Source organism: Homo sapiens, chromosome X (assembly GCF_000001405.40).
Source record: "Homo sapiens chromosome X, GRCh38.p14 Primary Assembly".
NCBI classification, from domain to species: Eukaryota; Metazoa; Chordata; class Mammalia; order Primates; family Hominidae; genus Homo; species Homo sapiens.
Window position 1 is genome coordinate 78,919,119 of NC_000023.11, and position 15,455 is coordinate 78,934,573.

The 15,455-nt window shown below is 37.1% G+C and overlaps 1 annotated feature.

The window, feature by feature from the left end:
• Positions 4,678-4,797: an enhancer, noted in NCBI's record as "active region_29788". NCBI's record gives its function as "activates an Ori minimal core promoter by ATAC-STARR-seq in GM12878 lymphoblastoid cells {active_cell/tissue: GM12878}" and the evidence as "EXISTENCE:reporter gene assay evidence [ECO:0000049][PMID:35858748]".

Here is a 15,455-nt window from a genome sequence, read left to right on the forward strand (position 1 = left end):
TGTGATTTTTATTTGCATTTCCCTGATGGTTAATGATGTTGAGCATCGTTTTATATGCTCATTGGTCATCTTTGTTTATCTTCTTTGAAGAATTGTCTATTTAAGTCGTGTGTGTGTGTGTGTGTGTCTGTGTATGTGTGTGTAGAATCACCCTTAAGTCAATCTTAAAAGATACATATAAGCAGAGGAAGGGTTAGAAGGTGTATTAGTCGGTTCTCATGGTGCTAATAGAGACATGCCTGAGGCTGGGTAATTTATAAAGCAAATAGGTTTAATTGACTCACAGTTCCACATGGGAGGGGAGGCCTCACAATCATGGCAGAAGGCAAAGTAAGAGCAAAGACACTTTTTATATGGCAGCAGGCAAGAGAGAGCTTGTGTAGGGAACTCTCCTTTATAATACCACCTGATTTCATGAGACTTACTTACTATCATGAGAACAGCACAGGAAAGACTCGCCCCCAAGATTCAATTATCTCTGACTAGGTCCCTCCCAAGACACATGGGAAGCATGAGAGCTACAATTCAAGATGAGATTTGGGTGGGTGGGGACACAACCAAACCATATCAGAAGGTTATTCAAACTTCCAGCTTAGCTAATTTCCATAGAGGATCATAGAATAAATTTTGTCTCAAAGAAAGGAGAGTATCCAAAAATATTCTGACATTAGACAAGTTTGTATTGTTGGAAAGAGAGAAAGTAATATTCAAAATGAAGGACAATCCGCTAAATCAGTTACATTTGGCTTTGGAGTGTGTGTGGTTTGTGCGTGTGTGTGTGTGTGTGTGTGTTTTGTTTGTTTGTTTGTTTTACAGATTTATGCCTACAACTGGTTTGACTACTTGGAAGGAATTTATATGTGCTGGTTTAATTGTTTTTATTTGGTGTTTGAGGAATGACGTTTTATTTCCATTAACATAATCAAATATTTGATAGTATGTATATACACACACTCAAATGATGACTTCTTCTGCAATTATCCCTGAGTTCGAACCTACTGCTGTTATCTTTTAACCTAACTAACTGAAAGTAAGTCTCTGCAGACCTCTGAGATAGATAATTCACATGTCAAAAATTGAGGAAAAACTCAGCAGATTATCTGAAATTATTTCAAAAGTAGTGTAACCATGAAACAGGGCAGGCTGCAACTTCACCCGTTTCCTATGAGATTGGTTTCCCTATGATGCATAGAGCTGGGTCATGGCAGATTCTCAGTAAAGACTTAGGTAATTGACAAATAATGGAAGGAAATTGACACAGCTAGTTCAAGAATCTAAGTTACCTCAAAGAGGGTGAATGGAGGTCATTTCCAGAGGCAATTTGGGGGTTATTGTTCTGCAGAAATTCATGAGTTGGCCTACATCCTCTCCTCTAGAGACAAGTGGCCCTATGGGCCTAAGTATTCCAATTACTATTTCTTCAGTACATTGTACTTTCTGGCAGTATTAGGTATACTTTTGAAATGGCCATGTGTACTGAGACACATCATAACAGATCTATAATGTGTTACTTCATCTGTTTCCTGGATCAACCTTTCCTTTTGAACGTACATGTTATAAGCTCTTCTAATGAATATATTTTAAATTTTATCTCTCCGCAAAAGAGTTGATGGAAAAACTTAAGCTCTAGCACAAATAAGGTGCTCCAGCACAAATAAAGTGACCTTGTCAGATACATCAAATTTGAGCAGCAAATGTTCACAACTGGGAATTTAGTTTAATTTTCTTGTTAATAACCAGAGTACTTACTCACACAACCTCATAAGTTACCCAAAGAGATCATGGTTTTCCACCTTTTCCCAGTTAATTTGAAAAGTTAATATTTACTGAAGGCTCTTCATATCTGATAGTAGGTTAATGCTAGCTGAGCCTAAGGAATTATCCCATGGTCTTCATATGTGACAAGTTGCCAGTCTTTATGAATACAGTCAGAAAAGTGGAAGCCTCTCAAGCTACAAGTTCTGCTATTTCTTTTATCAAGAAGTTTCTATCTGTCTCCTCTGATTTATTCTCAATCTCTCCACTATAATTTAGTACCCTGTTTCCTCTTGAATCGACTATTCTAGTGGTTTTTCTAATCTATCTTCCATATCGTCTCCTTATCAATCATTCGGTATATCCTTGTTTCCATAATTATTTTTTCCCTAAAACACCGCTACTTTCAAGTTGTCATCTGTGCAAAAACCCATAGACTAATAGGTATTTATTACCTTTTGGGTAAAGTCCAAACTTGGTCGGGCATTCTAGATCCTCCTTCACAATCAGGCCCCAAACCAAAACCTGTTACTCATTGTTATCTTTTATGGAACTCCTACAGTGAGAATATTTGAATCTTTGTTTCCCTCAAACATCATTAATATTCTTAATAACTTGAAATTATTTGTGTTGTTTTATTTCTTCTTTCACTCATGCTGCTTTGGTAAATATTAATTTACTTTTAATATGTTAAAATCCTGTCACTGATCTGAATGCTGTCAATATAAAGACCAATACATTAATGTTAATTAAGTAAATCAAGGAACAAAGGTTGCTGGATAAATGAATTGATCTCACCAAATGTTCTGAGAACAAGTGAGAAAAAGTATATTGCCACTGAATTTCAAATGAAATAATGACATTTAGTTAAGACCTAGAATGTGTAATCAGCCATGATCCTAGGAACAATGTGAAGGCCTTGAGTTGAAATCCTACTGTTTTCTTTAATTCTCCTTCTGTTTCTGCATAAATACATTAACTTTGAGACTGAGTTTAACTTTAGAGCCTTTTTTCTTTTTTTTTAATTTTATTATTATTATACTTTAAGTTTTAGGGTACATGTGCCTTTTTTCTTATCTGCAATGTCAATAGCTCTCAAGCTCTTACAATGAAGGAGCTATTTTAGCAACATGTCTAGCAATGGAGTCAGTGAAAGGAGATGAATACAATACTTGTTTCGATTTTTCTATTTTTTTCTCTATTTTAAATTTCCATTAGCAGATCACCATTTGATTGGGTTTTGTTGATGGAAGAGAAGGTCTGAGTTTCCTGGACACAGTGGAGTAGAATATACTCTCTCAATCTCTATGGCTGAAATTTATGTCCTTTCCTATATAATCATGTTAGCTGATACGGTGACGGAAAGCTTTCCACATGGAGTAATTTTAGGCCACACAGAATAAAGCCCCTTTTTTTGCAGTGCTCTACCACATTCACCTCAGAGGTTTGGATTTTAAAAATTCTTGTGTAGTTGAGGTGGGATCAGAGAGCCCTCTGTCATGTTTCATGGGGCCTTGATCTCCAGGATGGCATTTGGCAATAGAGAGCCCACGAATATTTTCTATGGGCATTAGGTGGGAGTATATTTAGCTCTTATCTACAGACTAATGTGAATGACAATGGAAAAGTTTCCACAGGGATAAGCCTCACGAGTTGCCCATGAGGACAAAACTTTTATGGTCTAGTAGCATTTCCTCAGGTATTGCACCACATAGAACTCATGGGACCTGAATCACCAACCTTATTACCCAGAAATCAACTGGTCCCAATATCAGAAAGCCAAGTAGGGCACAGATAAGCAGAAAGTTACCTGCTTTATCTTTCCACCTTTCACTTCTTTACTATCCCCCTCTTCTTGTCATTATTATAATTACTATTATTAGTATTGTTTGTAAATCCATTTCTCTCTTCCACTCTTCTCATTTCCTTTATGTTTGTCAAGTATGCATTTTTTCAAAGTTTATGCACTCTTCTCTATCAGCACAGAATCCCCTAACATATTCTTCAACAAAGTGTCACTAGTGTCACTGATAATTTATACCCTCTTGAACACAACAGCCAGGAAGCCCTAACCTCAGAGATGTGTCAGCTCAACTTCGTTTTGTGCCAAAATGCCAAACCCAAGCCTCATTTAGGTGATGGGTGAGTTCAGTGGCTCTCTACTCACCCCTTTCCTCTTACACATAAATAAATTCCAGTGGGAGGAAAATAATTTCATAGGATCTTAATGTCATTATAAATACCACTTTTAGTTCAGCAAAGGAGAAAACATGAAAAGGGAGTGGATTACTCAACAACTTGGTTGATGTGAGCTTCAGAAGTATTTTTTTAGTTTTTTGAGAAAATAAATATATGTAAAACAAATATTCAAACACGGAGAAAATTTTCTCTCAGCATGGACTAGAAAACATAAAACTCTAATATTTCTAATGGGAGAAGTGAGAAATTGGTTTCTGAAACACTAAAGTTGTTTTGAAGCAACTGATACTTCCTTCTATTTATAGCTTACCAAAGCCCAGTATACATTGGTGAATGAGATTAGGGAGCAAAGTTGTACAGTTTAAGAGGGTATCCTAAAAAAACAAACAACAACAAAAAACCTCATTTCTCATAGTTTTCTGAAGAAAGTTAAATAAGCGCCCAGCATGAAAGCAAAGTCCAGCTCATAAGCTGATTTTGGACAGTGCTGACTCAGTAACACTCTTCTCTGAGATCTCTTTTCCTTGCCTACTTTGCTCCTTCATGAGAGTTTTGTTACCACTGACCTCCTTCTGACTCCCCCCACTTCATGTTAGCTTTGGACTGGCCAAGTAGCTTTGATTCTCCTGGAAAGCTGATTCAACTCACTGTCCAGTCCAGCACCTGACCTTCATTAGGCAGTCATTTCTGTCTTGAGACCATGCTGAGGAACTTCCCTGCACTGGTCTAAGCTTTATTTACACTTTGGAAACCACCTAAAGACTTAGCTCTGGGAGAAGATCTTCTTAAAGTTCAATACTGAAAGAAAACCTGTAAAGTGCTCTTTCATTTTTTAGTGAAATGTCTTTCCATTTCCCAGCTGCTGATTCATAGTGACACAGCATCGTTTGCTCTTCAGCTTGTATTTTCTCTTAGCATGGCCCCAGAGGCTAGTAGCCCAGCTCATAACCAGTGCCACAAAGAAAGAAGGGAATGGAATTTTACTAAACCAAAATAAAAAGATGTTTTTGGCAGTATGGTCAATTTTCACAATATTGATTGTACCCATCCATGAACATGAGATGTGTTTCCATTTGTTTGTGCCATCTATAATTTCTTTCAGCAGTGTTTTTTTTTTCTAGAGGTCTTTCACCTCCTTTATTAGGTATAGTCCTAAGTATTTTATTATTTTTTTGCAGCTATTTTAAAAGGGATTGAGTTCTTTATTTGATTCTCAGCTAGCTTGTTGTTGGTTTATAGAAGAGCTATTGATTTGTGTACATAAATTTTGTATCCGGAAACTCTGCTGAATTTTTTTTTTTTTTTTTTTTTGAGACGGAGACTCACTCTGTCGCCCAGGCTGGAGTGCAGTGGCGCGATCTCGGTCCACTGCAAGCTCCGCCTCCCGGGTTCACGTCATTCTCCTGCCTCAGCCTCCTGAGTAGCTGGGACTACAGGTGCCCGCCACTATGCCCGGCTAATTTTTTGTATTTTTAGTAGAGACGGAGTTTCACTGTGTTAGCCAGGATGGTCTCGATCTCCTGACCTTGTGATCCGCCCGTCTCAGCCTCCCAAAGTGCTGGGATTACAGGCGTGAGCGACCACGCCTGGCCTCTGCTGAATTTTTTTTTTTTTTTTTTATCAGTTGTAGGAGCTTTTTGGAGGAGTCTTTAGGGTTTTCTAGGTAAGTGATCATGTCATCAGCAAACAGCAACAGTTTGACTTCCTCTTTACCGATTTGGATGCCCTTTATTTCTTTCTCTTGTCTGATTGCTCTGGCTAGGACTTCCAGTACTATGTTGAAGAGGAGTGGTGAGGGTAGGCATACTTGTCTTGTTCCAGTCCTCAGAGGGAATGCTTTCAACTTTTCCCCATTCAGTATTATGTTGGCTGTAAGTTTGTCATAGATGGCTTTTATTACATTGAGGTATGTCCCTTGTATGCCAATTTTTCTGAGAGTTTTAATCAAAAAGGAATACTGGATTTTGTTGAATGCTTTCTCTGCATCTATTGAGATGATCATGTAATTTTTGTTTTTAATTCTGGTTATTTGCTGTATCACATTTATTGACTTGTGTGTGTTAAACTGTCTCTGCAACCCTGGTATCCCACATGATCATGCAGAATTATCATTTTGATAAGTTGTTGGATTTGGTTAGTTAGTATTTTGTTAAGGATTTCAACATCTACGTTCATCAGGAATATTGGTCTGTAGTTTTCTTGTTTGGTTAGGTCCTTTCTTGGTTTGATATTAGGGTGACACTGGCTTCATAGAATGATTTAGGTCAAACTACTACCATTCCATCATTCTTCATAGAATTAGAAAAAAAAGATTCTAAAATGCATATGGAACCCAAAAATATCCTGCATACACAAAGCAAGACTAAGCAAAAAGACCAAATTTGAAGGCATCACATTATCTATTTCAAACTATACTCTAAGGCCATATTTCACCAAAACAACGTGATACTGGTATAAAAAAAGGAACATAGATCAATGGATCAAAATAGAGAATCCAGAAATAAACCCACAAACTTATAGCCAACTGATCTTTGACAAAACAAACAAAAACATAAAGTGAAGAAAGGACAACCTTTTATCAAATGGTGCTGCGATAATTGGCTTGCCACATGTAGGAGAGTGAAACTAAATCCTCATATCTAATCTTATACAAAAATCAACTCACGATGGATTAAGGACTTAAATCTAAGACTTAAAACTGTAAAAATTCTAGAAGATAACATTGGGAAAACCCTTGTAGACATTGGCTCAGGCAAGGAATTCATGGCCAAGGACCCAAGAGCAAATGCTATAAAAACAAAGATAAATTACTTGGACTTAATTAAACTAAAGACCTTTTGCATGACAAAAGGAGCAGTCAGCAGAGTAAACAGACAACACATAGAGTGAGAGAAAATCTTCACAATCTGTACATATGATAAAGGGCTAATATCCAGAATCTGCAATGAACTCAAACAAATCAGCCAGAAAATTACAAACAATCCCATCAAAAAGTGGGATAAGGACATGAACAGACAATTCTCAAAAGAAAGTATACTAATGCCCAACAAACGAAAAAATGCTGAACATCACTAATGATCAGGGAAATGCAAATCAACACCACAACATGATATCGAATTACTCCTGAAAGAATAGCCATGATCAAAAAATAAAAAAATAATAGATGTTGGCATGGATGTGGTGAACAGGGAACACTTCTACACTGCTGTTGGGAGTGTGAACTAGTACAACTACTATGCAAGACAGTGTGAAGATTCTTCAAAGAATGAAAAATAGAAGTACAATTTGATCCAGTAATCCCACTATTGGGCATCTACCCAGAGGAAAATAAATTATTATACAAAAAAGACACTTGCACACGCATGTTTATAGCAGCACAATCTGCAACTGCAAAAACGTGGAACCGAACCAAATGCCTATCAATCAACGAGTGGATATATATATATATGTGATATATATATATGATATATATATATATGTGATATATATATATGATATATATATATATGTGATATATATATATGATATATATATATATGTGATATATATATATGATATATATATGATATATATATATATGTGATATATATATGATATATATATATGTGATATATATATGATATATATATGTGATATATATATGATATATATATGTGATATATATATGATATATATATGTGATATATATATGATATATATATGTGATATATATGATACATATATGTGATATATATGATACATATATGTGATATATATATGATACATATATGTGATATATATGATACATATATGTGATATATATATGATACATATATGTGATATATATATGATACATATATGTGATATATATATGATACATATATGTGATATATATATGATACATATATGTGATATATATATGATACATATATGTGATATATATATATATGATAGAATACTACTCAGCCATGAAAAGGAATGAATCAATGGCATTCACAGTGACCTGGATGAGACTGGAGACTATTATTCTAAGTGAAGTCACTCAAGAATAGAAAATCAAACATTGTTTTCTGTCATAAGTGGGAGCTAAGCTATGAGAATGCAAAGGCATGAACATGACCATAATGTTCTTTGGGGACTCTGGGGGAAAGGGTGGGAAGAGGATGATGGATAAGACTACAAATAGAGTGCAGTGTATACTGCTCAGGAGATGGGTGCACCAAAATCTCACAAATTACCACTAAAGTACTTACTCATCTAACCAAACACAACCTGTACCCCATAACCTATGGAAATAAAAAAAATAAAAATTGAAAGAAAAAATTAAAAAAGGAAAAAGCTACTTGAACTTCATGCAACAACTTGTACGAATCTCAAAGACTTATGCTATGTGAAAGAAGCCACTATCCAAAGGTTTCCTTCTGTATGATTTTATCTTATTACATTCTTGAAAAGACAAAACTATATATAGTGTTGGAGAACAGATCAGTGGTTGATATAGGAATGTGACTATAAACGCATACCATGTGGAAGTTTTGGGGAGTGGTAGAACTGTTCTGTGCCCTGATTGTGGTGGTAGCTACATTAATCGATATATGTTAAGTTCAAAAACTGGTGATTATTTCACAATACATAGGTATATCAAATTATCCAAGTAATACAACTTAAACATATATAATTTTTAATTGCAAATTATACTTTAATAAGCTGGAAAATTTTAAAAAAATAGATGCAGTGACTCAAGAGCACTATTTTGTTCTGAAGGCCAGTCTCCATGGCCTGGTAGAGTTGAGCTGGGTCTCCATAGAAATAATAGGGATTTTATTTGTGATGGGAAGATCTAGAGAATGTAGGAGAAATTATTGTCTCATTCAATCCAGACTTTAAACCCCATGAGCTACCTACTTGAGGCTACCACATGCATCATCCCCAAAGCCTACCAGAAATCATGTGTATTAGTTCGTTTTCATGCTGCTGATACAGACATAACCAAGACTGGGCAATTTACAAAAGAAAGAGGTTTATTGAACTTACAATTCCACATGACTGGGGAGGCTTCAGAATTATGGTGAAGACAAGGAGCAGCAACTCATATCTTACATAGATGGCAGCAGGCAAAAAGAGAGAGAGCATGTGCAGGGAACCTCCTCTTTATAAAACCATCACATCTTCTGAGACTTACTCACTATCATGAGAATAGCATGAGAAAGACTCGCCCCCATGATAAAATCACCTCCCACTTGGTCCCTTCCACAGCACATGGGAATTGTGGGAGTTACTATCGAGATGAGATTTGGATGGGGACACAGCCAAACCATATCATTCCACCCCTGGCCCCTCCAAAATCTCATGTCCTCACATTTTGAAACCAATCATGCCTTCCCAACAGTCCCCCAAAGTCTTAACTCATTTCAGCATTCACTCAAATGTCCAAAATCCAAGTCTCATCCACGAAAAGGAAAATCCCTTCTGCCTATGAGCCTGTAAAATCAAAAGCAAGTTAGTTCCCTCCTAGAAAAAAATGGGGTATAGGCATTGAGTTAATACAGTCATTCCAAATGTGAAAAACTGGCCAAAACAAATGGGCTACAGGCCCCATGCAAGTTCGAAGTCCAGTGGGGCAGTCAAATCTTAAAGCTCCAAAATGATCTCCTTTGACTCCATGTCTCACATCCAGGTCACACTGATGCAAGAGGTGGGCTCCCATGTCCTTGGGGAGCTCCACCCCTATGGCTTTGCAGAGTACAGCCTTCCTCCTGGATGCCTTTATTGGCTGGTATTGAGTGTCTGCAGCTTTTACAGATGCACAGTGCAAGCTGTCAGTGGATCTACGATTCTGCGGTCTGGAGGATGATTGCCCTCTTCTCACAGCTCCACTAGGTGGTGACCCAGTAGGGACTCTGTGTGGGGGCTCTGACCCCACATTTCCCTTTAGCACTGCCGTAGTAGAGGTTCTCCACCCACCCCTGCAGCAAACTTTTGCCTGGGCATCCAGGTGTTTCCATACATCTTCTGAAATCTAGGCAGAGGTTTCCAAACTTCAATTCTTGACTTCTGTGCATCTGCAGGCTCAACACCATGTGGAAGCTGCCAAAGCTTGGAGCTTACACCCTCTGAATCCACAGCCTGAGCTCCATGTTTGCCCCTTTCAGCCATGACTGGAGTGACTGGGATGCAGGGCACCAAGTCCCTAGTCTGCACACAGCATGAAGACCCTGGGCCCGGCCCATGAAACCACTTTTTCCTCCTAGGCCTCCAGGCCTGTGATGGGAGGGTCTGCTGTGAAGACCTCTGACATACCCTGGAGATATTTTCCCCATTGTCTTGGGGATTAATATTCAGCTCCTCATTACTTATGCAAATTTCTGCAGCTGGTTTGAATTTCCCCTCAGAAAATGAATTTTGTTTTCTATAGTATTGCCAGGCTGCAAATTTTCCAAACTTTTATTCTCTACTTTCCTTATAAAACTGAAGACCTGTCACAGCACCCAATTCATCTTTTGAATGCTTTGCTGCTTAGTAATTTATTCTGCCAGATACAGAAGAATCTGTATTATCTGTATCATCCATATCACTATCAGCATTTTAAGCAAAGCCATTCAACAAGTCTCTAGGAAGTTCCAATCATTTCCACATTTCCCTGTCTTCTTCTGAGCCCTCCAAATTGTTACAACCCCTGCCTGTTACCCAGTTCCAAAGTTGTTTCCACATTTTCCAGTACCTACAGCAGCACCCCACTCTACTGGTACCAATTTACTGCATTAGTCTGTTTTCATGCTGCTGATAAAGACACACCTGAGACTGGGCAATTTACAAAAGAAAGACGTGTCTTAGGCTTACAGTTCCACGTGGCTAGGGATGCTTCATAATCATGGTGGAAGGCAAGGAGCAGCAAGTCATGTCTTACATGGATGGCGGCAGACACAGAGAGAGCATGTGCAGGGGAACTCCTTTTTATAAAACCATCAGAGCTCATGAGACTTATTCACTATCACGAGAAAAGCATGAAAAAGGCTCGCCTCCGTGATTCAATCACCTCCCACTAGGTCCCTCCCATGACATGTGGAAATTGTGGGAGTTACTGAAAAGATGAGATTTGGGTTGGGGACACAGCCAAACCATATCATTACATGAGGGCATAATATCTGCTACGGGAAATAGGACATCCTAAGCCAAACTCCATGGAGCATTTTTCATGGCCTGTTATCCTTCTCTAAGGCTTATATAACCCTAAAATCTTGTGACTTCTTTCCCTGTGAGTCTTCTGTACAAATACTTCTCTTTTCTCACCCAGTTAAATAACAATAGTTATTGTGCATAGCAATTACTTTATACACATTTTGGGTGTGCACGTGTATGTAAAAGGGTTTTTTTCCTACTATTTTTAAAAGCAGATCAACCTAGGCTTCTTTTTTAAATAATTTCAACTTTTATTTTAGATTATAGGAGTGCATGCATAGGTTTGTTACATGGGTAAATTGTATAATGCTGAGGTTTGGAGCACAAATGATCCTATTTCCCAGGTAGCATCATAGTACCCAATAGTTGTTCAACCTTTGCCCTCCTCATTTTCTCTCTCCTCCAGTAGTACTCATGTCTTTCATGAAGTTCACTATGTGATCTTGGACAAGTTGCAACTTCCTGGGTATGTTTCTTCATCAGTAAAATAAAATAAATAAAAGAAAAATGAGGCCATTTCTAATTACATATAATTAGATAGATCCTAGGTTCAAATACATTAATAAGTGTAAAGGGCTTCAAATAGTTGCTAGTGATTTATCAATAGTTTTATTGAATTAGAGTTTCATTAATTTACGTACTGCTATAATTTAAGGTGGCACTAGGTGTATGAGAATAGTTTTACAGCAATGAAAATCTATCTTGTTGAATATCTGCTCATTCCTGTATTCATAAGACTTGAGTGAAAATTTTATAAAAGTGAAATTGTTGGATCAATGGGTATATGCATTTAAAATGTTTCTAGGCAGGGCACGGTGGCTCATGCCTGTAATCCCAGCACTTTGGGAGGCTGAGGTGGGAGGATCACGAGGTCAGGAGATCGAGACCATCTTGGCTAACATGGTGAAACCCCGTCTATACTAAAAATAATAAAAAAAAATTAGCTCGGCGTGGTAGCGGGTGCCTGTAGTCCCAGCTACTGGGGAGGCTGAGACAGGAGAATGGCGTGAACCCAGGAGGTGGAGCTTGCAGTAAGCCGAGATCGCACCCCTGCACTCCAGCCTGGGTGACAGAACGAGACTCCGTCTCAAAAAAATAAATAAATAAAATAAAATAAAATAAAATAAAATAAAATGTTTCTAGAACTTGCCAAATTATCCTTCAAAACATTGTCTGAGAATAGCGGATTCCTCATATTCTTATCGACATTGGATGTTCAAAATATAATCTTATGTGATCTGATATTTTGCCTATTTTAAAATTTTTCATTAAATTCACCAATTTTTCTTGGAGTGAAAATAAAATTTTGTAGAAGACTTTGGAAGACAGCAAGCCGGGTTGATCCTTTATTAAAAACATGACTAGATAAACATTCATTCTGGAATCTAGACCACATATATTTGAAATGTTTGCTTTGGGATATATTGAGTATTTAAGCATTAGAAAACTTGCCCTGCTCTTGAATAACATCTTGGTACCGTGACAAAACGCATACATACAACCAATTTGAAATGGTAGCATACTTGTGCTCTTAGAGACTTTTAAGGATTCTGAATAAATTTGAAATTCTCCACATTTTGTGCATCAAACTTATTTCAAATTAGGGCGATTAGATAAACTATTTAATTTTTGAAAAATAGTGAAGCTGCCAGACTCCAGGGTAACTTCTTGAATTAGTAAGCAGTTTCCCCCCATGAGAATCTAGTATAAGTTACTCCACAGCTGCAAGAGATCTGATCAAGGAAAAGGACCAAGGATGACCTCAGCAAATGCATTACTGGCTTCCTGTTTCTGTATACTCTAAAATATAATTAGGCTGAAATGCAAAGAGCAAGGGAAAACACTTGGAATAAAGCTGGATCCAGGTTTACAAGCCAGATGATTTTTTGGCAGGTTAATCACTTAGTAATTGAATTGTTTATTCTTGTTTATCTTTTGGTTGCTAAGATGACTTTATGATATCAACTTTTGGAATCTATACACTCTTCTTTGACCAGGAAAGAAAAAGAACAATTTTATGTAACTTAATGTAAGTACGGTTTTTAATGGCTGATAATTATCTAATATTTTTATTGGAGATCAATGAAGCATCTAGCGATACTGACTTCAGTATCACGTTTTGCTCTCTTTCAAAGCCATTTGTTTCACATGTGTTTTTGCACTTGATTCTTGCAGAAGTCTTCGGAGGCAAGGGTTATTATCTGCATTTTATAGCAGAGCTGGAACTGGAAGCCAGCTTATTTATCTATTGTGCTTTTCCTTAGATAGAGGGAAGTTCTGGTGAATAGAGGCATTGCAATTGCTTTATAAATGTAAAAAACAAACAAGATGATTTGACTGCAAAAGGAAAATATAATAGAATTTAAAAATACTTTAGGGGCTCAAAACATTTACCTTTTGATTTGAATTCATACCAAAAGTGTTCTCTAAATTTGGAGTCATTGCAAAAATATACGTCAGTATTTTACTTTACCTTTACAAGTAAAATACCCTTACTACAAGCAAAGATTCCCAGACATTTTATATTTGCATCTTCATCCCTAATCATGAAATAAAAGCAGAAGATTCCCTGTGCCATACATATAATGATCCTAACTTGATAGCTACTAGATTAAATACATTCAATAAAATTACTGAGCACCTGTCATATATATGACAAGAACTTGCCATCTAGTTGGGGGAAGGGGCACAATACATAAGACAAGTACATATAGAACTAAAATGCCAAACAGAATATAAATGCCTAAATGTTCTGGAGGTTCAGAAAATGGAAAGGTCCTATCCAATAAGGTAAAAAAAAGGGAATAGAAATAATATTGTGTAAGAGGGGGAGTTTGGACAGAATCTTGACAAAACGATGGGCAGAATTTCAACTGACAGAAGAGAGGACAAGAGGGCTTCAGGAAGATAACTCATACCAAAGCTTGGAGATAAAGTCTAATGTGTTTATGAAATAGTGATAATCCAGTTTGCTTGAGATACAATGTACCACTGGTAATATGTACATAAGGGAGGATAGAAAAGTATGAAACCATAGGGCTTTGAAATCCAAGTAAAAGAGTTTAGCAAAGAACTGGTGCACAGTGGTGAATTATTGAAGGTTTCTGAGCAGGGAAAAGGACATGATTAAGCTGAACTTGAAGTAAAGGAAGCTCATAGCTCTGGGTAGGGCATATATATGGCAATGTGAACAATTGGGAGACTATTTCAGTAGCCTAGCTAAAGAATGAAAATTATATGAAAAGCGAATTTCAGTGCCCATAAATAAAGTTTTATTGGAACATAGCCACGTGCATATGTTTAGATACTGTCTATGGCTATGTTGGTGCTACAGTGACAGAGCTGAGGAGTTGTCACAGACTGTGTGATCTAGAAAGCTGAAAATATTTGCTATCTGGCCCTTTTCGAAGTGCCTAATTTATTTATTTTGGGGTTATTTCTTCTCTTTCTTTCTATCTTTTTTATATTTAACTTTCGAGTACAGGGTACATGCACAGGTTTGTTATACAGGTAAACTTGTGTCATTTTTTTTTTACAGATTATTTTGTCACTCAGGTATTAAGCCCAGTAACCATTAGTTATTTTTCCTGATCCTCTCCCTCCTCCCATCCTTCGCCCTCCAGTAGGCCTCAGTGTGTATTGTTTCTTTCTATGTGTCTATGTATTCTCATCATTTAGCTCCACTTATATGTGAGAAAATGCAGTATTTAGTTTTCTGTTTCTGCATTAATTTGCTAAGGATAACAGCCTTCAGCTCCATCCATGTTCCTGCAAAAGATATGATCTTGTTCTTTTTTATGGCTGCATAGTATTCCATGCTGCATTTGTACCACATTTTCTTTATCCAGTCTATCATTGATGGGTATTAAGGTTGAGCCGATATCTTTGCTATTGTGAATAGTGCTGCAATGAACACACGTGTGCATGTGTCTTTATAACAGAATGCTTTATATTCCTTTGGGTATATACTCAGTGATGAGATTGCTTGGTTGAATGGTATTTCTGCTTTTAGGTCTTTGAGGAATCACACTGTCTTCTACAATAGTTGAACTACTTTAGACTCCCACCAACAGTGTATAAGCATTCCTTTTCTCCACAACTTCATCTGCATCTGTTATTTTTGAATTTTTAACAACAACCAACTTGACTGGCCTGAAATGGTATCTCATTGTGGTTTTGATTTTATTTCTCTAATCATCAGTGATGCTGAGCTCATCTTTGTGGTCTTATCTTCCTTTGATCTTGGAGGATGCTGACCTTCAGATTTTTTTTTTCTTCTTCTATCTTATCTGGTGACATTGAGTGTTTGGTAGTAGGATAAGGTGGATTCAGCCAACTGGCTT